The 21,359-nt window shown below is 42.5% G+C and overlaps 1 protein-coding gene across 5 annotated transcripts in view, besides 3 other annotated features; it reads right to left on the bottom strand.

The window, feature by feature from the left end:
• OSBP2 (oxysterol binding protein 2) overlaps nucleotides 1-21,359 on the bottom strand; it is a 214,032-nt gene that overhangs the window by 57,545 nt on the left and 135,128 nt on the right. The gene's annotated exons all lie outside the window — the stretch shown is intronic.
• Nucleotides 19,314-20,513: an enhancer, noted in NCBI's record as "P300/CBP strongly-dependent group 1 enhancer chr22:31225743-31226942 (GRCh37/hg19 assembly coordinates)". NCBI's record gives its function as "activates an origin of replication core promoter dependent on BRD2, BRD4, P300/CBP, MED14 and CDK7 cofactors, with strong dependence on P300/CBP, by STARR-seq in HCT116 cells {active_cell/tissue: HCT116}" and the evidence as "EXISTENCE:reporter gene assay evidence [ECO:0000049][PMID:35650434]".
• Nucleotides 19,377-19,877: an enhancer, noted in NCBI's record as "H3K4me1 hESC enhancer chr22:31226379-31226879 (GRCh37/hg19 assembly coordinates)". NCBI's record gives its function as "activates a minimal SCP1, AML or CMV promoter by ChIP-STARR-seq in primed H9 embryonic stem cells {active_cell/tissue: H9 hESC(primed)}" and the evidence as "EXISTENCE:reporter gene assay evidence [ECO:0000049][PMID:30033119]".
• Nucleotides 19,878-20,378: an enhancer, noted in NCBI's record as "H3K4me1 hESC enhancer chr22:31225878-31226378 (GRCh37/hg19 assembly coordinates)". NCBI's record gives its function as "activates a minimal SCP1, AML or CMV promoter by ChIP-STARR-seq in primed H9 embryonic stem cells {active_cell/tissue: H9 hESC(primed)}" and the evidence as "EXISTENCE:reporter gene assay evidence [ECO:0000049][PMID:30033119]".

The following is a 21,359-nucleotide window of genomic DNA, read 5'->3' as shown; positions in this document are numbered from 1 at the left end:
GTAGTACAATCTCAGCTCACTGCAACCTCCGCCTCCTGGGTTTCAAGCAATTCTCCTGCCTCAGCCTCCCAAGTAGCTGGGACTATAGGCACACAGCACCATGCCCGGCTAATTTTTTTGTATTTTTAGTAGAGAATGGGGTTTCACCATGTTGGCCAGGCTGGACTTAAACTCCTGAATTCAAATGATCCACCCGCCTCGGCCTCCCAAAGTGCTGGGATTACAGGTGTGAGCCACCACGCCCAGCCTGATCAACTGAATTTCAATAAAGCTGTCAAGGTAAGTCAATGAAGGAGAAGCTTCATTTAAAAAAAATAGTACTTGAACAACTAAATATACATATGGCAAAAAGTAACCTTGACAACTATGTCACCCCATACACAAAAACTAATTCAAAATGGAACATAAACCTAGATGTAAAGGTTAAAACTATAAAACATCTAGAAGAAAACATAGCACTATCTTTAGGTAGGCAAAAATTTCTTAGAACACAAAAAGGACTAATCATAATAGAAACATCTGATAAGTAGTTTTCATCAAAATTAAAATCATGTGATCTCAGAAAGATACCATTAAAAAATGAAAAGGTAAACCACAGGAGAAGTTTTTCCCAATATATGTTCGTGACAACTTGTATTCACAATATGTAAAGAACTCTACAAATGCATAATAAGGCAAACATCACCCTCCCATAAGCAAAAGATTTGAAAAGGTGTTTTATAAAAGAAGACATACAAATGGCTAATAAGAACATGAAGAGATGCTCAATATCATTAGTAACTAGAGAAATATAAATTAAAACCGTAATGAGATACCATTACATGCCTACAGGAAGAAGTGAACTTAAAAAGACCAACAATTCCAGGTTGGCAGGATGCGGGACAACTGAATTCTCATACCTTGCTGGTGGGGATGTAAAATGGTATAATCACTTTGGAAAACAAAGTGTAGCAGTTTATTTTGTCTTTTCTTTAAATTCTTTCTTTTCTTTTCTTTTTTTGAGATAGGGTCTCACTCTGTTGCCCAGGCTGAAGTGCAGTGGCATGATCATAGCTCACTACACTCTTAATCTCCTTGGGCTCAAGCAATCCTCCCACCTCAGCCTCCTGAGCAGCTAGGACTACAGGCGTGCACCATCATGCCTGGCTAATTTTTAAATTTTTTTGTAGAGATGGGGTACTGTTATGTTGGCCAGGCTGGTCTCAAAGTTTTGGCCTCAGGTGATCCCCCTGCCTTGGCCTCCCAAAGTGCTAGGATTACAGGCATGAGCCACTGCACCCAGCTGGCAATTTCTTATAAGGATAAATATACACTTATGATATGACCTATAATTCCACTTCTAGATATACCTAAGAGAAATAAAAACATATGTCCATGAAAATACATGCATTTTAAATGTTAACAGCAGTTTTATGGCTCATAGCAGCCCCAAACTGAAACTATTCAAACATCCATTAACAGATGAAAAATTGTGGTATATTCACACTATGGAAAACGAGTTAGCAATAAAAACGAACAAACTACATATTCACATAACATGGATGAACCTCAAAAGCATGATACTGAATGAAAGAGGGCACACGTCCTATTGTTTGATTTCATACAATGGAATTCTAGAACAAGTAAAACTATAGTGCATAAAGATCAGTTGCTATCTAAAGCAAGATGTTGGGGGATATTGACTGCAAAGAGGTATGAGAAAACTTTTGGGGATGATTAAAATGTTCTATATCTTTTTTAGGGTGGCAGCTACACAGGTGTATACATGTCAAAACTCAAAGAACAGTTAAAATCAGTTCATTTTGTTGCATTTAAATTCAATAATAATAAGGTTGATTTAAAAAGGAAAAAAAGGACAACCATTTACTGATCCAGTTCTAGTCATTTATCCTACAGACATACAGATATACATATGACCAAATATTGATATATATAAATGTACATTTCAAAACTGTTTGCAATAGCTTTTAGGACAGTTTTTGGGATGGAAACATTCAGCACTGTTTGCAATAGCTTTTAGGATGCTTTTTAGAATGAAACATCCTAAAAGCACTATTTGCAATAGCAAAACATCTGGAAACGCCCTAAATGCCCTTCAAAAAGAGACTGGTTATTTAAACTATGAAACATGAATATAACAGAATATTATATAGCTGTTAGGGAATCTAATGGAACTCTGTGTACTAATATGGAAAAAACCTTTAAGACATAGTCAGTGAAAAAGATCAAGGAGCAAAACAGTATGTATACTATAATTCTATTTACTTTTCATAGGGTATCTATAGTATATGTGTTTTAAAAGAATGTATAAGAAAAACAGTATATAAAAATAATAAAACAAAAATCCAATTCCTTGAAAATATCAATAAAATCTATAAACCTCTAGCCAGATTGAGGACGAAAAAAGAATGATACAAATGACTAATATCAGCAATGAAAGAGGGGAAATCACTACAGATCTCACAGACAAAGAACAACAAGGAAATATCATGAGCAACTTTTTGCTCACAAACTTGACAACTTAGACAAAATAAACAAAGCCTTGAAATACAAACATACCAAAACTCACTCATAAAAAAAACCTGAGGAGTCTATTAATGAAATTGATTCTATAGTTTAAAATCTTACAACAGAAAACTCAGGGCTCAGAAGGCTTTGGTGAAGAAGTCTACCAAATATTTAAGAATTAGGCTGGGCACGGTGGCTCACACCTGTAATCTCAGCACTTTGGGAAGCTGAGGCGGGTGGATCACGAGGTCAGGAGTTCGAGACCAGCCTGGCCGACATGGTGAAATCCCATCTCTACAAAAAATACAAAAATTAGCCAGGCGTGGTGGTGGGCACCTGTAGTCCCAGCTGCTCGGGAGGCTGAGTCAAAAGAATTGCTTGAACCTGGGAGGTGGATGTTCCAGTGAGCCGAGGTCATGCCACTGCACTCCAGCCTGGGTGAACAGCAAGACTCCCTCTCAGGGAAAAAGAAAAAAGAATGAGCCTGGGTGCAGGTGCCTCAGGCCTGTAATTCCAGCACTTTGGGAGGCCGAGGTAAGAAGATCACCTGAGTTCAGGAGTTTGAGACCAGCCTGGCCAACAAAGTGAAACCTCATCTCTACTAAAAATACAAAAATTATCTGGGTATGGTGGCAGGTGCCTGTAATCTCAGCTACTTAGGAGGCTGAGGCAGGAGGATCATTTGAACCTGGGAGGTGGAAGTTGCAGTGAGCCAAGATTGTGCTACTGTACTCCAGCCAGGGTGATTGAGAAAGACTCCATCTCAAAAAATAAATAAATAAATAAATAAAATTTAAGAGTGAAATAATATCAATTCTACACAGACCAAGGACCTAAACCAAAGATCACAAAAAAAGAAAACAACAGACCAATATACCGCATGAACAAAGACACAAAAATACTCAGAAAAGTACTAGCAAATTGAATCCAGCAATACATAAAAAGTATAACACATATTAAGTGAGGTTTCTTCCAGAAATGAATGTTGGTTCAATGATGAAATATCAATAAAAGATAACCAAACTTAAAAATGGTATTTGAATAGACATTTCTCCAAAGTAGATACACAGATATCTTCTTCGGTCAATAAACACATGAAAAAATGCTCATGTCATTAGTTATTAGAGAAATGTAAATCAAAACCAGAGTGAGAGGGAGGGAAGGGGATTAAAAAAAAAACCCACAGTGAGATACTAGCATTTCCCACCTACTAGGATGGCTATTATCAAAAGAGCAGAAAATAACAAATATTGGTAAGGATGTGGGAAAATTGGAACTCTCATACTGTGGGAATGTAAATAGTACAATCAGGCTGGGTGCGGTGGCTCACACCTGTAATCCCAGCACTTTGGGAGGCCAAGGCGGGTGGATCACTTGAGGTCAGGAGTTCAAGACCAGCCTGCCTGGCCAATATGGTGAGACCCTGTCTCTACTAAAAATACAAAAATTGGCCAGGCATGGTGGTGCATGCCTGTAATCTCAGCTACATGAAAGGCTGAGACAGGAGAATTGCTTGAACCTGGGAGGCAGAGGTTGCAGTGAGCCAAGATTACACCACTGCACTCCAGCTGGGTGACAGAGTTGAGACCCTGTCTCAAAAAAATAATGTAAGATAAAATAAAATAAAATAAAATGATATGATCACTTTAGAAAACAGTTGGGCAGTCATTATATAACCCAGCAATCCCACTCCTAGGTATACACCCAAGAAAAATGAAAACATATATCCACACAAAAACTCACACATGAATGTTCATAGCAGCATTGTTCATTATGGGCCCAAAGTTAATGTCCATCAACTGATGAATGGATAAAGGCAGTATACAGGCATACCTCTTTTATTCTGCTTTGCAAATACTGCCTTTTTTTTTTTTTTTTTTTTGAGAGAGTCTCACTCTGTCACCCAGGCTGGAGTGCAGTGGCACGATCTCAGCTCACTGCAACCTCCACCTCCTGGGTCAAGCAATTCTTCTGCCTCAGCCTCCCAGGTAGCTGGGATTACAGGCACGTGCCACCACACCTGGCTAATTTTTGTATTTTTGGTAGAGATGGGATTTCACCATGTTGACCAGGCTGGTCTCGAACTCCTGACCTCATGATCTGCTCACCTCGGCCTCCCAAAGTGTTGGGATTACAGGTGTGAGCCACCGTGCCTGGCCGTCCCCCACCCCCACTTTTTTTTTTTTAAACAAATTGAAGGTCAGTAGCAACCCTGCATTGAGCAGGTCTATTGGTGCCATTTCTTCAACATCATAGGCTCACTTCATGTCTCTGTGTCACATTTTGGTAATTCTTACAATATAACAATTTATTTATTTATTTATTTATTTAATTTCTGAGATGCAGTCTCACTCTTGTAGCCCAGGCTGGAGTGCAATGGCACGATCTCAGCTCACTGCAACCTCTGCCTCCCAGGATCAAGCAATCCTCCTGCCTCAGCCTCCTGGGATTACAGGCACCTACCACCACGCCTGGCTAAGTTTTTGTATATATGGTAGAGACGGGTTTCACCATGTTGGCCATACTGGCTGTAAACTCCTGACCTCAGGTGATCCGCCCACCTTGGCCTCCCAGAGTACTGGGATTGCAGGTGTGAGTCACTGCACCCGGCTAAACTTTTTCATTATTATATCTGTTATGATGATCTGTTATCAGAGATCTTTGATGTTACAGCTGTAATTGCTGGAGTGCAACAAACCACATCCATATAAGATGGCAGACTTAATCAATAAATGTTGTATGTGTTCTGACTGTTCCACTGACCAGCCATTCCCCCATCTCTCTCCTTCTTGAGCCTCCCTTTCCTGAGACACAACATTATTGAAATTAGGCCAATTAATAACCATACAAAGGCCTCAAAGTGTTCAGGTGAAAGAAAGAGTTGCATGGCTCTCACTTTAAATCAAAAGCTAAAAACCAGTAAGCTTAGTGAGGAACTCATGTTGAAAGTTAAGACAGGCCCAAACCTAGGCCTCTTGCACTAATTAGCCAAGTTATGAATGCAAAGGACATGTTCTTGAAGGAAATTAAAATTGCTACTCCAGTTAAGACATAAATGATAAGGGAAACAGTCTTATTGCTGATAGAAAGTTTTAGTGGTCTGGATAGAGGATCAAACCAGCCATGACATTCCCTTAAGCCAATACCTAATCCAGAGCAAGCCCTTAACTCTCTTCAGTTGTATGGAGGCTGACAGAGGTGAGGAAACTGCAGAAGAAAAATCTGAAGCTAGTAGAGGTTGGTTCATGAGGTTTAAGGAAATAAGCCATCTCCATGACCTAAAAGGGCAAGGTGAAGCAGTAAGTGCTGATGTAGAAACTGCAGCAAGTTATCCAAAAGATCTAGCTAAGATAATAGATGAAGGTGGCTACATTACACAACAGGGTTTCAATGTAGATGAAACAGTCTTCTGTTGGAAGAAGATGTCATCTAGGGCTTTCATAGCTACAGAGGAGAAGTCAACGCCTGACTTCAAAGGACAGGTTGGCTCTTCTTAGGGGACAATGCGGCTGGTGACTTTAAGTTGAAGCTAATATTCATTTACCATTCCAAAGACCCTAGGGCCCTTAAGAATTATGCTAAATTTGGCCAGGCGCGGTGGCTCATGCTTGTAATCCTACCACTTTGGGAGGCCAAAGCGAGCAGATTGCTTGAGCACAGGAGTTCGAGACCAGCCTGGGTGACACAGTAAAACTCTGTGTCTACAAAAAATACAAAAGTAAGCTGGGCATGTTGGTGTACACCTGTGGTCCCAGCTACTCGGGAGGTTGAGGTAGGAAGATCACCTGAGCCCAGGAAGGTGAAGTCTCCAGTGAGCTGTGATCCCTCCACTGCACTCCGGCCTGGGTGACAGAGTAAGATCTTGTCTCAAAAAAAAAAAAAAAAAATTGTTTGAGACAGGGTCTCACTCTATTACCCAGGCTGGAGTGCAGTGGCACGATCCTGGCTCACTGCAACCTCCAACTCCTGGGCTCAACTGATCCTCCCACCTCAGCCTTCCAAGTAGCTGGGACTACAGGCACACACCACCATGCTGGGCTGATTTTTATTTTTTATTTTGGTAGAGATGGGGTTTCACTATGTTGCCCAGGCTGGTCTTAAACTCCTGAGCTCAAGTGATCTGCCCTCCTTGGCCTCCCACAGTGCTGGGATTACAGGCATGAGCTACAGTTCCTGGCTGAATTATTCTAAATTTATTCGGCCTATGCTCTATAAATGGAACAATGAAGCCTGAATGACAGCACACCTGTTTATAGTGTGGCTTATGGAATATTTTAAGCCCACTGTCAGGACCTATTGCTCAAGGGGGAGGGGGGAAAGATTCCTGAAAACGTACTGTGGCTTCCAGCAGGGTCCCTGGGAGCACTGCCAGTTTGGCAAATGAAGCTTGCAAAATACTGGACAATGTGGGAGCCTGGCTTCAGGGCGTCTACGAATTTGCCACCAATGGGGTCTCTGGAAATGATTCACTCTCTTAGACACCATTAAGAACATTGGTGATTCATGGGAGGAGGTCAAAATATCAACATTAACAGAAGTTTGGAAGAAGTTGATTCCAACCCTCCAGGATGACTTTGAGGGGTTCAAGACTTCAGTGGAGGAAGTAACTGCAAATGTAGTAGAAATAGCAAGAGAATCAGAATTAGAAGTGGAGCCTCAAGATATAACTGAATTGCAGGCCGGGTGCGGTGGCTCACACCTGTAATCCCAGCACTTTGGGAGGCTGAGGTGGGTGGATCACTTGAGGTAAGGAGTTTGAGACCAGCCTGGCCAACGTGGTGAAACCTCGTCTCTACTAAAAATAAAAATAAAAATTAGCCAGGTGTGGTGGCACACTCCTGTAATCCCAGCTGCTCAGGAAGCTGAGGCAGGAGAATCGCTTGAACCCAGGAGATGGAGGTTGCAGTGAGCCGAGATTGCGTCACTGCACTCCAGCCTGGCTGGATGACAGAGCCAGACTCCTTCAAAAAAAGAAAGAAAGAAAGAAAGAACGAACTGAATTGCTGAAATCTCATGACAAAACTTGAACGAATAAAGAGTTGCTTCTTACGGATGAGCAGAGTGGTTTCTTGAGATGAAATCTAATCCTGGTGAAGATGCTGTGAACACTGTTGAAATGATAACAAAGGATTCAGAATATTACATCAACTTAGTTGAAAAAGCAGTGGCAGGGTTTGAGAGGATTGATTCCAATTTTGAAAGAAGTTCTACTGAGGATAAAATGCTATCAAACATGGCACAGAGAAATCGTTTGTGAAAGGGAGAGTTGACTGATGTGGCAAACTTCAGTGTTGTCTTATTTTCAGAAATTGCTGCAACCACCCCAACCTTCAGCAATCACCACGCTGATCAGTCACCAGCCATCAACATCAAGGCAAGGCCCTCCACCAAGAAAAAAAACTGGCTGAAGGCTCAATGATTGTTAAGTTGTTAGTAATAGAGGGTTTGTTTTGTTTTGTTTTTGAGACAGGGCCTTGCTCTGTCGCCCAGACTGAAGTGCGATGGTTCATTGCATTGTTCATAGTTGGCTGCATTCATAGTTCACTGCAGCCTCAAACTCCTGAGCTCAAGGGATACTCCCACTTCAGGAGTTCGAGACCAGCCTGGGTGACACGATAAAACTCTGTGTCTACAAAAAATACAAAAGTAAGCTGGGCATGTTGGTGCACCCCTGTGGTCCCAGCTACTCGGGAGGTTGAGGTAAGAAGATCACCTGAGCCCAGGGAGGTGAAGGCTCCAGTGAGCTGTGACCTCTCCACTGCACTCCAGCCTGGGTGACAGAGTAGGACCCTCTCTCAAAAAAAAAAAATTGTTTGAGACAGAGTCTCACCCTATTACCCAGGCTAGAATGCAGTGGTTCAATCCCAAGTAGTCAGGATTACAGGTGCATGCCACAACTCTCAGCTATTTTTTTTTGTTGTTTTTGGTACAGACAAGTTCTCACTATGTTGCCTGGACTAGTCTCAAACTCTTGGCCCCTGATCCTTCTGCCTCAGCCTCCCAAACCACTGCAATGAGAGGTGTGAGCCACCATGCCAGGTCTACAATAAAATATTTTTAAGTGAAGATATATACATTGTTTTTTAGACATAATGCTATTGCTCACTTACTAGAGTACAATATAAACATAACTTTAATATGCATCAGGAAACCAAAAAATTCATGTGACGCACTTATTGCTTTATCTGGAACTGAATCTGCAATATCTCCGAGGTATGACTGTATCTACGTCACGGAATCTTACTCAACAGTACAAAGGAGAGAAGTACTGATACATGTAGCAACACGCATAAGCTCTGAAAACATTATGCTAATTGAAAGAAGCCAGTCACAAAGGTTGTACATTATGTGGTTTCATTTGTATAACATGTCCAAAGTAGGCAAACCTATAGAGACAGAAAGTAGACAGCAGTTGCTTAGGGTTGAGGGGTCAGGAGAAATGGGGATTGACTGCTAACAGGTATAAGATTTATTTCAGGAGGGATAAAAATGTTCTAAAATTGAGTGTAACGATGGTTTGCCTAGCCTTGTAAATATAGTAAAAGACATTGTACACTTTATTTTTTATTATTTATTTTTTGTTTTTTTGTTTTTGTGAGACAGAGTCTCACTCTGTCACCCAGGCTGGAGTACAGTGATGCAATCTCAGCTCACTGCAGCCTCCGCCTCCCGGGTTCAAGTGATTCTCATTCCTCAGACCCCCAAGTAGCTGGGGTTACAGGTGCCCGCCATCACACCTGGTTAATTTTTGTATTTTTAGTAGAGATGGGGTTTCATCATGTTGGCCAGACTGGTCTTAAACTCCTGACCTCAAGTGATCCACCTGCCTGGGCCTCCCAAAGTCCTGAGATTACAGGCATGAGTCACCTCGCCTAGCCCACGTTGTACACTTTAAATGGATTATGTGGTGTGTGAATTATATCTCAAGAAAGCTGTTAAAAAAAAAAACACTAAAACTAGCATGTATGCAGCACTTTGTATGTGCCAGGGCTTTACATTAATTATCTCATTAAGTCCTCCCACCCACCATACAGAAAGGAACAAATAGGTAAGATTTATTAAGCATTTACTTTGTGCCAGACACTATTCTGAGTTATTTCCCCATATCAACTCTTTCACTTCTTGCCTTATTATCAATCCCATCTTACAGATAAGACATAGGTTTGGAGAGGCTATGTTACATGTACACATCTGGTAAGGGGCAGAGCTAAGTCTGAACTCAAGTGGCTAACTGAGATTTTACCACTCCCCACCCCATCTCCCTCCCATCTCTTTAATGAAGTGGTTCTCAAATTGTAATCACTGGACCAGCATCATCTGGGATCTTGTTAGAAATGCCAATCTTCCAGCTCTATTCTAGAGCTAATGAACAAGAAAAAACCTTGAGGGTGTAAGGTGTAAGGAAGGGATCCAGTTTCAGCTTTCTTTTTTTTTTTCCTTTTTCTTTTTTTTTTTAACAGGTTTATTTAATAAACATTTATTGAATGCCTGCTATATACCAGGGTTTGTTTGCAACAAGATGCACTTTAAGTTTCTTTCTTTTTTTTTTTTATTACACTTGAAGTTTTAGGGTACATGTGCACATTGTGCAGGTTAGTTACATATGTATACATGTGCCATGTTGGTGCACTGCACCCACTAACTCGTCATCTAGCATTAGGTATATCACCCAATGCTAAAAAAGAAAGTTGAAAAAAAAAAAAAAAGAAAGCTGAAACTGGATCCCTTCCTTACACCTTATACAAAAATTAATTCAAGATGGCTTAAAAGACTTAAACGTTAGACCTAAAACCATAAAAACCCTAGAAGAAAACCTAGGCAATACCATTCAGGACATAGGCATGGGCAAGAACTTCATGTCTAAAACACCAAAAGCAATGGCAACAAAAGCCAAAATTGACAAATGGGATCTAATTAAACTAAAGAGCTTCTGCACAGCAAAAGAAACTACCATCAGAGTGTACAGGCAACCTACAAAATGGGAGAAAATTTTCGCAACCTACTCATCTGACAAAGGGCTAATATCCAGAATCTACAATGAACTCAAACAAATTTACAAGAAAAAAACAACCCCATCAAAAAGTGGGCAAAGGATATGAACAGACACTTCTCAAAAGACATTTATGCAGCCAAAAGACACATGAAAAAATGCTCATCATCACTGGCCATCAGAGAAATGCAAATCAAAACCATAATGAGATACCATCTCACACCAGTTAGAATGGCAATCATTAAAAAGTCAGGAAACAACAGGTGCTGGACAGGATGTGGAGAAATAGGAACACTTTTACACTGTTGGTGGGACTGTAAACTAGTTCAACCATTGTGGAAGTCAGTGTGGCGATTCCTCAGGGATCTAGAACTGGAAATACCATTTGACCCAGCCATCCCATTACTGGGTATATACCCAAAGGACTATAAATCATGCTGCTATAAAGACACATGCACACATATGTTTATTGTGGTACTATTCACAATAGCAAAGACTTGGAACCAAGCCAAATGTCCAACAATGATAGACTGGATTAAGAAAATGTGGCACATATACACCATGGAATACTATGCAGCCATAAAAAATGATGAGTTCATGTCCTTTGTAGGGACATGGATGAAATTGGAAATCATCATTCTCAGTAAACTATCGCAAGGACAAAAAACCAAACACCACATGTTCTCACTCATAGATGGGAATTGAACAATGAGAACACATGGACACCGGAAGGGGACCATCACACTCTGGGGACTGTTGTGGGGTGGGGGGAGGGGGGAAGGGTGGGGGGAGGGGGGAGATTAGGTATATCTCCTAATGCTAAATGATGAGTTAATGGGTGCAGCACACCAGCATGCCACATGTATACATATGTAACTAACCTGCACATTGTGCACATGTACCCTAAAACTTAAAGTATAATAATAATAAAAAAAAACAAAACGAAACAACAACAACAACAAAAAACCTTGAGGGTGGGACCAAAATATAAAAATCAAAATAATTCACTATATTAACAGACTAAAGAAAAAAAATCCAAGTGATAATAATTTTAATAGGCACAGAAAAAAAAAGCACTGGGCAAAATTAAACATCTCTTCGTCATAAAATCTCTCAGAAAACTAGGAATAAAAGGGAACTTGCTCAACTTGATAAGAGATCTGTAAAAAACATACAGTGCAGATCGTAGTTAATGGTGAAAGACTGAATGTTCTCCCCCAGGACTAGGACCATGGCAAGGATTTCTGCTGTCATCACTTCTATTTAACATTGTACTGGAGGTTCCAGCCAATGGAATAACGTAAGAAAAAGAAATACACAAAAGTACATTAAAGTATTTGTTTTGTGGGTTTATATACTTTTATTTCCTCATATTTTCCTATATTTTTCCAATTATTTCATAGATATGAATCAGACCTGGTTCTTATCCTCAGGGAATTAACAGTATTATGCAATCACATCCCCAGGGACTCCAAACACTGGAACACAAGTTGGAAGAGAAGCACATTTAACCTTCCAGTCCCCTTCATGCCACAGCTGCATGCTCGGGATGTGCATGAAGCTGCTGCTGGGACCCTCTAAATTGGACAGCTTGCTGCCACACGAGGAATCCTGACAAGGTCTAGATCCTAAAAGGGTGGGCTCTGGTTTGCTGAACCTCACAGTTCTGCTATCTTTACCAAATGACTTAATCTCACTGTGTCTAGTTTCTTCCTCTCTAAAATCAGAATAGAAAAAATATGTACCTCGGGGCTGAAAAGAAATTAAATTTGACAATGTACATAAAAAGCACAGCATAGTTTTTGGCACATACAAAGCATTCACTAAAAATAACGATGATGCTCTTTCACAAAAAGCACATGTGAGCTTGGAAAAATGAAGACCTACATTATTCTAAAGAGGGTTCACATGCCCAACCAATGTGTAAGAAGCAGAGTCTTCAGGGCTGCAAAGGAAGCAACCAAGACAATGCTGGCATCAAGATTTAGCCCGGCCTTAGGTCCTGACTCCTCCTGTGGCTTGCATCACCCTGTCGCACCCTGGGCTTTGCTCACCCCGAACCTGCCTAGAACCACATCACAATCGCAGCCTCAGCAGCTGGCAAACGAGCGCAGGGCTCAGAGCCACACATGCTCAGGGAGTTGCAGGGTGACCCAGATTCTAGGAAATGCCATTTGGAATGACAATGGACTCCATTCCTTCTGAGCTAGGCACCAAGAGAAAAGTAGAGGCATTTTTCTTCTGCAATAGTTTCTTCTTCACACAGTGCAGACTCTTGGAAGCCACAAGCTACCTATAAACCAGTGCACAGCACTGCTAGGTAGAATGGCCCACCTCCTTCTCATGGGGACGAGCGGGACCCCAGCAAAAGGGGTCTCAGTGGTTTTCCATGCTTCTGCATCACTGCCTGGGCACAAATAACCACTTCTCTACCCCCAGTGGAACAGAAAAGGAAGCCAAGGTCCATTAGGGTTATGGGCAAACTTTCTTTCTTTTTTTTTTTTTTTTTGAGACAGAGTCTCACTCTGTTGCCCAGGTTGGAGTACAGTGGCATGATCTTGGCTCACTGCAACCTCTGCCTCTCAGTTTCAAGTGATTCTCCTGCCTCAGCCTCCCTAGTAGCTGGGATTACAGGTAGATGCCACTACACCTGGCTAATTTTTGTATTTTAGTTGTTGTTGTTGTAGAGATGGGGTTTCGCCATGTTGGCCAGGCTAGTATTGAACTCCTGGGCTCAAGTGATGTGCCTGCCTTGGCCTCCCAAAGTGCTGGGATTACAGGAGTGAGCCACTTTTTATCATCTTTGATCTGTTAAATTGGTTCTTTAATCACATTCACCCACTTAACAAGAGTTGACGGAGAACCTGTCATGTGCCAGCTACTACATAAGGCACTGGGGACACAGGCAGCAGTCCCTAAAAGCCACTAAGTCCCCAAGCCTCCTTCTTTCTGGCCAATATCAACCAGAACTCCAGTGATTATCACCTCTTGGGGCTTCTGGAGTCTCTCCTCTCCCAATTGCCTGCTGTGTCTGCTGACCCTGGGGCTACCTGCCCTGCTGCATCCCACTCGCTCCACCAGCTCTTCACTGAACCACGCCTGCATCAGCACCTTTGCCTGAAAGCTTGCCCAAAGACATAAACTTAGTGGTAAATACCTTTGAATTACCTTTCCCGAAATATCTCCGGTTTGGCAGCAGCAGAAGGTTAAGCATTATATTCAGGGGGTTACAATGAAAATGTGTCTTCCTTTTGCCAGGCAAAGAAAAGGAAGGAGGAAAGGTCTTCAACTGTTGGCCAGTGGAGCAAATGTGAACCAACAACAAATAGCTTTGTATGTGCTTGCCATTAAGGGAAGCAGAATTCAGAGGCTAAGGGTAGAGCCTGCAAGTCGGCCTGCCCAAGTTCAAACAAGCCTGGCTCTGCCAGTCATTAGCATTATGGCCTGGGACATAACCTCTCTAGCCTGTTTTCCCATTTCTAAAACAGGAATAACAGCACCCTGATAAGCGAGCAGGGGGACTTGAACTACAAGATATCAAACTGTATTATAAAGTACTTAAGGTACTGTGGTACTAAAGCAGGGGAAAAAATTGTTCTGTGAAATGAGAGCGAGCACCCCAAACAGACCCAAGCATATGTAGAACTCTGACAGTCATCAGAAGTGGTAGAGTGGATCAGAGGAGAGAAGAGAAACTGCTCAATAAATAGCACTGAGCTACTTGGTTGACCACATCAGAAAAATACAATTAATGGCTGGGCATGGTGGCTCATGCCTGTAATCCCAGCATTTGGAAGGCCAAGGCAGGAGGAGCACTTGAGGCCAAGAGTTCAAAACCAGCCTGGGCAACATAGTGAAACCCCACCTTTACAGGAAAAAAAAAAATTTAGCCAGGTGTGGTGGCACATGCCTGTAGTCCCAGCTACTTGGGAGGCTGAGGTGGGAGGATCACTTGAGATAGGGGAGGTCGAGGCTGCAATGAGCCGTGATCATGCCACTGCACTCCAGGCAACAAAATGAGACTTTGTATCTTAAAAAAAAAAAAAAAAAAAGTAACTACATATTTCGTATCATTTACATATGTATACAGAAATCAATTCTGGATACATTAAGGACTTCAGTGTGAATCTTGAAAACTTTTCAGGAGAAAATTTTTAGAAAATACCAGTATGGTCTCCAGGCAGAAATATAAAAGGTCCTATCTATAAAAACTGATAAATTCAACTACATTCAAATTAAGAGTGTCTATTGAAAGTGTGGTGTTGGCATAAGGATAGACATATAGATCACTGGAATAGAACTAGAAATCCAGAAATTAACCCTTACATTTATGGTTGACTGATTTTCAACAAGGGTGCTAAGATAATTAAATGGGGAGACAAAAATATTCTCAACAAATGGTGCTGGGATAGCATGCAAAAGAATGAAGTTGGATCCCAACCTTACCCTATATAAAAAAATTAAAATGAATCATAGATCTAAATGCAAGAACTAAAACTATAAAATTCCTAGAAGAAAACACAGAAGTAAATCTTCTTGAATTTGGATTAGACAATGGTTTCTTAGATATTACAAAAGCACAGATGACAAAACAAAAAAAATAGATAAATTAAACATCAAAATTAAAAATTTTGTGCTGCAAGTGATACTATCAAGAATGAAAGACAGGCCAGGCATGGTGTAACCCCAGCACTTTGGGAGGCCGAGGTGGGCAGATCACCTGAGGTCAGAAGTTCGAGACCACCTGACCAACATGGTAAAACCTTGTTTCTACTAAAAATACAAAAATTAGCCAGGTGTGGTGGTGCATGCCTGTATTCTCAGCTGCTCAGGAGACTGAGGAATGAGAATCACTTGAACCCAGGAGGCAGAGGTTGCAGTGAGCCAAGATCACGCCACTGCACTCCAGCCTGGGCGACCAAGCGAGACTCCATCTCAAAAAAGAAAAAAAAAAGAAAAGAAAAGAAAAGAAAAGACAATCCATAGAATAGGAGAAAATATTTCTGAAAATGTATCTGATAAGGGACTTGTATCCAGAATATATAAATAACTCATACGAGAATAAAAAGACAACCCAAATAGATAATAGGCAAAGGATTTAAATAGGCATTTCTTCAAAGAAAATATACAAATGGCCAGTAAGCACATGAAAAGATGTTCAACATTATCAGTTATTAGAGAAATGCAAAACAAAACCACCATGAAATAACTACTTCACTTCCAACAGGATGACAGTGATTAAAAAACAAACAAAACCCAGAAAGTAGCATGTGTTAGAGCAAGGATTTAGAGGAACTGGAATCCTAATACATTCCTTGTGATAATGTAAAATGGTGCAGTCTCTATGAAAAACAGTTGAGCAGTCTCTCAAAAGTTAAACTATATTACCTAGCAATCCCACTCCTTGGTATATAACCAAGAGTGAAGAAAACATACATCCACACAAAAGTTTATGCGCTTTTGTGTTCATAGAAAAGTTCATAGAAGATTTATAATAGCCCCAAAGTAGAAATAACCCAAATGTCCATCAACTGATGAGTGGATGTTCTATATTCCTACACTGGAATATTATATGGCAGTAAAAATGAATAAAGTTGGGAGGCTGAAGTGGGAGGATCACCTGAGCCTAGAAGTTAGAGGCTGCAGTGAGCTATGATCACACCACTGCACCCCAGCGTGGGCAGCAGAGCAAGACCCTATGTCAAAAAAAAAAATGGACTGATGGTTAAAGAGAGGGATGTATGGAAGGATAAATGGTGATCAAGTAAATATAGTAAAATGTTATTGGTAGAATCTATGTGGTGGGTGTACAAGTGTTGATTATACAGTTCTTGCAACTTTTCTGTTTGAAATTTTGCAAAACAAAGTGTTGGTAAAAAAACACTGATAAGAGAAGATCTGCCCTACTATAGAAAACATACTTTCCAACTGCAATAATCATATCACCATGGTTTAGGTGCAACACTAGACAAAACTGGCATATGATGATGAAGTCCCAGACCTGCAAGAGGTTAATACACTAGAAGAAAAAAATTCAAACCCAATAGAAATTCTAGCAAAGATACACTCATTCAATAATGAGATACTGTTTTCAATTCTCAACACAATTTAAAATGCTATTAAATCCTGGTTCTGGTATATGGTGAGACTAGTGGCTGGCTTTGAGTCCATTTACTATGGCTGTGTGACAAGGCAAATTCTGCGTCAATGTCTCAGCTGCCACACCTACAAAATCAAGGGAGGGACCTCAAACCAGCTGAGGTTCAGGGTGACAGGTCAAGGGACAAGCAGAGCTCAATTACACATGTAGGTGTATGGCCCAGGAGCTCCATGCACAGTAAGTAGCTAGTATTATTTGTGGTTATCTCTGCAACAGAATTACGCTTATTTTAAAATTTCTTTTAGATGCTTTTTTTTCCTATTGGATTTTCTACAATGAGCATGAACTATCTTGGTAACCAGGAAAAAAAAGTCATGAATTATTTTAACAGCCAAACGGTGATGATTTGGGATTATGTCCTCTAATCTCTAACAGCGGACGGCTGGCTCCATGCCTTCCTAGCTGTACAGTTGTGTGTTTCTAGGCCTCAGTTTCCTTGTCTGTACCATAGGGGTTTGGTAAATCATCTCTAAGACCCCATCTGACAGTGACAGTCTAGGATTCTATGGCTATAACATTTTCTTTCATATGGGTGACTGAATCCTTCTCAACTCAATGTGAGAACTCGCGCACTGACACCTTTCTGAATCAAACTTTGAAAAATGTGGAAAAAGAACACGAGTATCTATGGCCACATTTCCCATGAGAGTAAGAACTAAATCAAGCCAAGGGCCATTTTAAAAACTTTAAACTCTATGCAATTCACAGGGAGACACTCCTGGAATGCAGCTCCTGCTGCTGTGGCTAGCTGGGCACTCCACCCCAGCTCCCCTGCAGTGCGCCACTGCCCAGCCCTGAGACCAGGGTCACCTCCCCTTCCTTCTGTGGAAATCCATCTAGTCCATTGAGAATGCCAGCATGTTTCGGAGGCCCCTGAGAAGTTAATACCCCGCAAGGAAACTCTGCTGTCTTCAAGGAGATCGTGACCGTGATCACAGAAAGAGCCTGGCATTTCCAATTAAGAATGAGTCCAAACAATGATTCCAACTGTGAGCGGCTATCTGCAGCCACTTAAATTACCTGCTTTGCACAATACAAGCAGCAGCTCCTGCCAGCATTTGGAAGGCCAAGGCAGGAGGAGCACTTGAGGCCAAGAGTTCAAAACCAGCCTGGGCAACATAGCAAAACCCCATCTTTACAGGAAAAAAAAAAATTAGCCAGGTGTGGTGGCACATGCCTGTAGTCCCAGCTACTTGGGAGGCTGAGGTGGGAGGATCGCTTGAGATGGGGAGGTCGAGGCTGCAGTGAGCCATGATCATGCCACTGCACTCCAGGCAACAAAACGAGACTTTGTATCTTAAAAAAAAAAAGAAAGAAAAGAAAAAAGAAAAAGAAAATTAACTGCATAGTTCATATCATTTACATATATATACAGAAATCAATTCTGGATACATTAAGGACTTCAGTGTGAATCTTGAAAACTGAGCTGGTAAGAAGGGGGCAAGGGCAGAAGGGCAGAGAGGGATGGTGGGAGTGAAGTAGGCACAACAAAGATGAAGGCTCATACTGGAAAAAGTGCCCAGAATGTCCCAGGACAGTGAGATGCTTCCTGGTCACTTGTTCTGCTTGGCCAAAGCAGGCAAAGAGGAGCAGGAGGAGAAAGGTCAGATCATCACCAGAAAGAGCTACCAGGGGTCAGGGTGAGGTCAAAGTAGGCACAGAAACAGCCATGGGAGAAGGCAATTAACTTTGGGCCAAGGAGATCAGAGAGGGTGGTTAACAGGTTCTCCTGTGGTGCTGACTTTGAGTGCTGATCACAGCAGCAGGATGGGGGCTGTTGGTGGCCATAAGTGGCCTCCCATCAGACTCTCACCCATGCCTGGATTGGGACCTCTGCATCTGGAATGTCCCTTGGGAAAGCTAAAGAGTGGATTCAGTACAGTCAAGTGAGCCACCTCCCACTAGATAACTCCAGAGAACAGGGGCAGTGCCAGCATCACCCCCAATTCAGAAGGGCCCTACCCTTGATTTAATTCTCAGCTGTCTTGAAATTCTTAATAATTTTTGCAAGGGGCCCTATATTTTCATTTTGCATTTGCCCCACAAGTCAAGAAGCAGGTTTTGCTAGGGGATGACAGTTCCAGGGACCACTTCTCTGAACCCCAACCACCAAGGACAGTGGATCGGTGCCAGGGTCCCAAGAAGTCCTGTCTGGCTTGGGTTCCAGCCACGTACAACATAAACCAACTTCGTTTAGAATGCCTTCCGTTGGTTTTCCACACAATGGCAGGAGACAGTGCAGCTGACGAGCCATCAAAGAGCAACAACAAATAATAACTGAACTAGTAAGGACACTTCATGCTTTTTGGTTAGTCAATTGCAAGTGAAAACAAGGCACATTATACTGGCCAAAGAATAATCTCTCAGAATGATGGAAGTCTAATGTAGGGAAGCTTACAGCAAGGTGTTGTCCACACCCGCCCCAAGCATCATGAACCAGAACGTTCTTGCCAAGGGTGATGGGGCTGCTAGAGGGAAGCATTCACACCCTTTGACTCAGCGATTGCATTCTTGGCAATGTGTCCCGGAAAGAAACACAAAGGAAAAACTTTACATGCCAAAGATGCTCAGGCAGCAGTTGGCTACAGTGATCTGGGAAGAACCTAAATGTCTAACAGAAGGAAAAGGCATTCCACAGCCTTCCAACGAATAAACACAAAGCCTGCGATAACGTGGGAAAGTGTTTATGATGTACAGCCATGTGAAAATGACATTTTTTTTTTTTGGATCTCAATGATATTAAAAGGATGTTTGTATAAAGGAAAAACATTGACCAAAAATAGAGACCTAAAAACAGTGGCAAAGGGATAATGGCGCTATGGAAACGCCATGCTCTTGAACATCTGGAATTGTTGTCTAAACAGTAAATAACCCTTAAAAATAATGAATGCCTAGGGCACAGAAGATTGGTCCTGCTGAATCTCAGAAAGTCTGGCCAAAAACAAAGCATGTGTGCTGGGGGACAGGTGAGGAGTGGGATTTGGGGAAGGGATTTTGCCAGGCAGATGAGCAGTTACCAAATGGTTAATGAACTAAGAGTCACATTCCAGGGGCCCTGTCCCGTACAAACTATGCTGCTTCTAATGTAAAAATATCCGCGGTGGAGGGATGCACCCAGTGGGCCTGACCAGGAAAGACACTTGTCCTCTAACCAGCCCCACCTATGGCCGAAAGGCTGATGGCCATGCCAGGTCAGGATGCGGCAGGCAGCCCCAGGGCGCTGTCCAGGTGGGGTTCCATTCCCCAAGTCTGTGGCCTCCTTCCGCCTTGACACACCACCCAGTGTGAGCAACTACTATTTCTGAAGATATGCGTCAGGAATCATTACTCAACACACACGTCACAGGGAAACAGGACATAAAAGGAAATTTATCTTTGGCAGCCCAAAGCCCATAACTTCATTTTTATTCATATTGCTCATCTATTTGATCAGATGCTGCTGCTGGTTTGAGCTGACTGGCACTTTATAGGAAAACCAGATGCCAGGAGAATGAATCTGCAGTGGGCAGGGCCGGGCCCTACAGGACACTCCCTGATGAGGTCAGAAGAAGATGTACATCCAGCAAACCCCTCAGTCCCAGCTCCAGCTCAACCCCATGCATCCAGACTCAGGCCCCTCTCTCCATTTCACTAGCCACCTTGAGATCTTTTCACTGAAGTCTCCCAAGCCCTGCTCCCACTTTGGCCCCCGTCGGGTCACCTGTCTTAGCCTGGCACCTAAGCAGCCCTCTCTTTGCCCAGAGGCAACAGAGGTCATTGTGCTACCTTCAGGACCAGTCAAATATTATTACTAATAATTGTTTTTATTAACAGGGCTGTTGCATATGGTTGAGCAGGTTGTACATTGCACAGCCCTAGGAAGTGCCATTCACAACAGACACTATAGATTTATTTTTATTACAATGCAAATCCAGCAAATGGAAGAGTCTCGTTCTGACAAATCAGAACAATTTTAAACTATTACAACAGTTTACAAATAAGTAGAGGTAAGGGCCCGGCGTGGTGGCTCACGCCTGCAATCCCAGCACTTTGGGAGGATTTGGTTCACGCCTGTAATCCCAGCACTTTGGCAGGCAGACCATTTGAGTTCAGGAGTTCAAGACCAGTCTGGCCAACATGGGGAAACCCCATCTCTACTAAAAATACAAAAATTAGCCAGGCGTGGTGGCAGGCATCTGTAATCCCAGCTACTCGGGAGGCTGATGCAGGAGAACAGCTTGAACCCGGGAGGCAGAGGTTGCAGTGAGCCGAGATTGCACCACGGCACTGCAGCCTGGAAGACTCCAGAGCAAGACTCCGTCTCAAAAAAATAACTAAACAAAAAATAAGTAGGGGTAAAGGGTCTTGAGGAAGAGGCATCCTTTTCTAATCCACGCGAGGTGCCAAGTGAGCCCACAGCAGCCCTGCACGCCAACCCGTGAACGCCAAATGAACCAGCTCCCTGGAGAGCACGCTATGTTCTCCAGGCTCCTTGGGGCTACCAGTGGCAAAGAACCTTGACTGCCTGGCTGGGGGAGCCTGGGCCTGTCCCAGCCCCATCGCCTCCACACTGTCAATGCCTTCCTCACTGTCACTGGGCATGCTGTGGCACAGTGAACAGCCACAAGCGCACAGGGCTGGTGCTTGGCCCACGAGGGTCTCCTCTTCTCTGCTGCACTGCCCCATCATGACCCTCTTTTCCCTCCAGGCCCTTCCAGTCCA

This window comes from Homo sapiens, chromosome 22 (genome assembly GCF_000001405.40).
Source record: "Homo sapiens chromosome 22, GRCh38.p14 Primary Assembly".
Classification (NCBI taxonomy): Eukaryota; Metazoa; Chordata; class Mammalia; order Primates; family Hominidae; genus Homo; species Homo sapiens.
The sequence above is the reverse complement of the archived record's forward strand: the minus strand, read 5'-3'. Positions and strand labels throughout refer to the sequence as shown.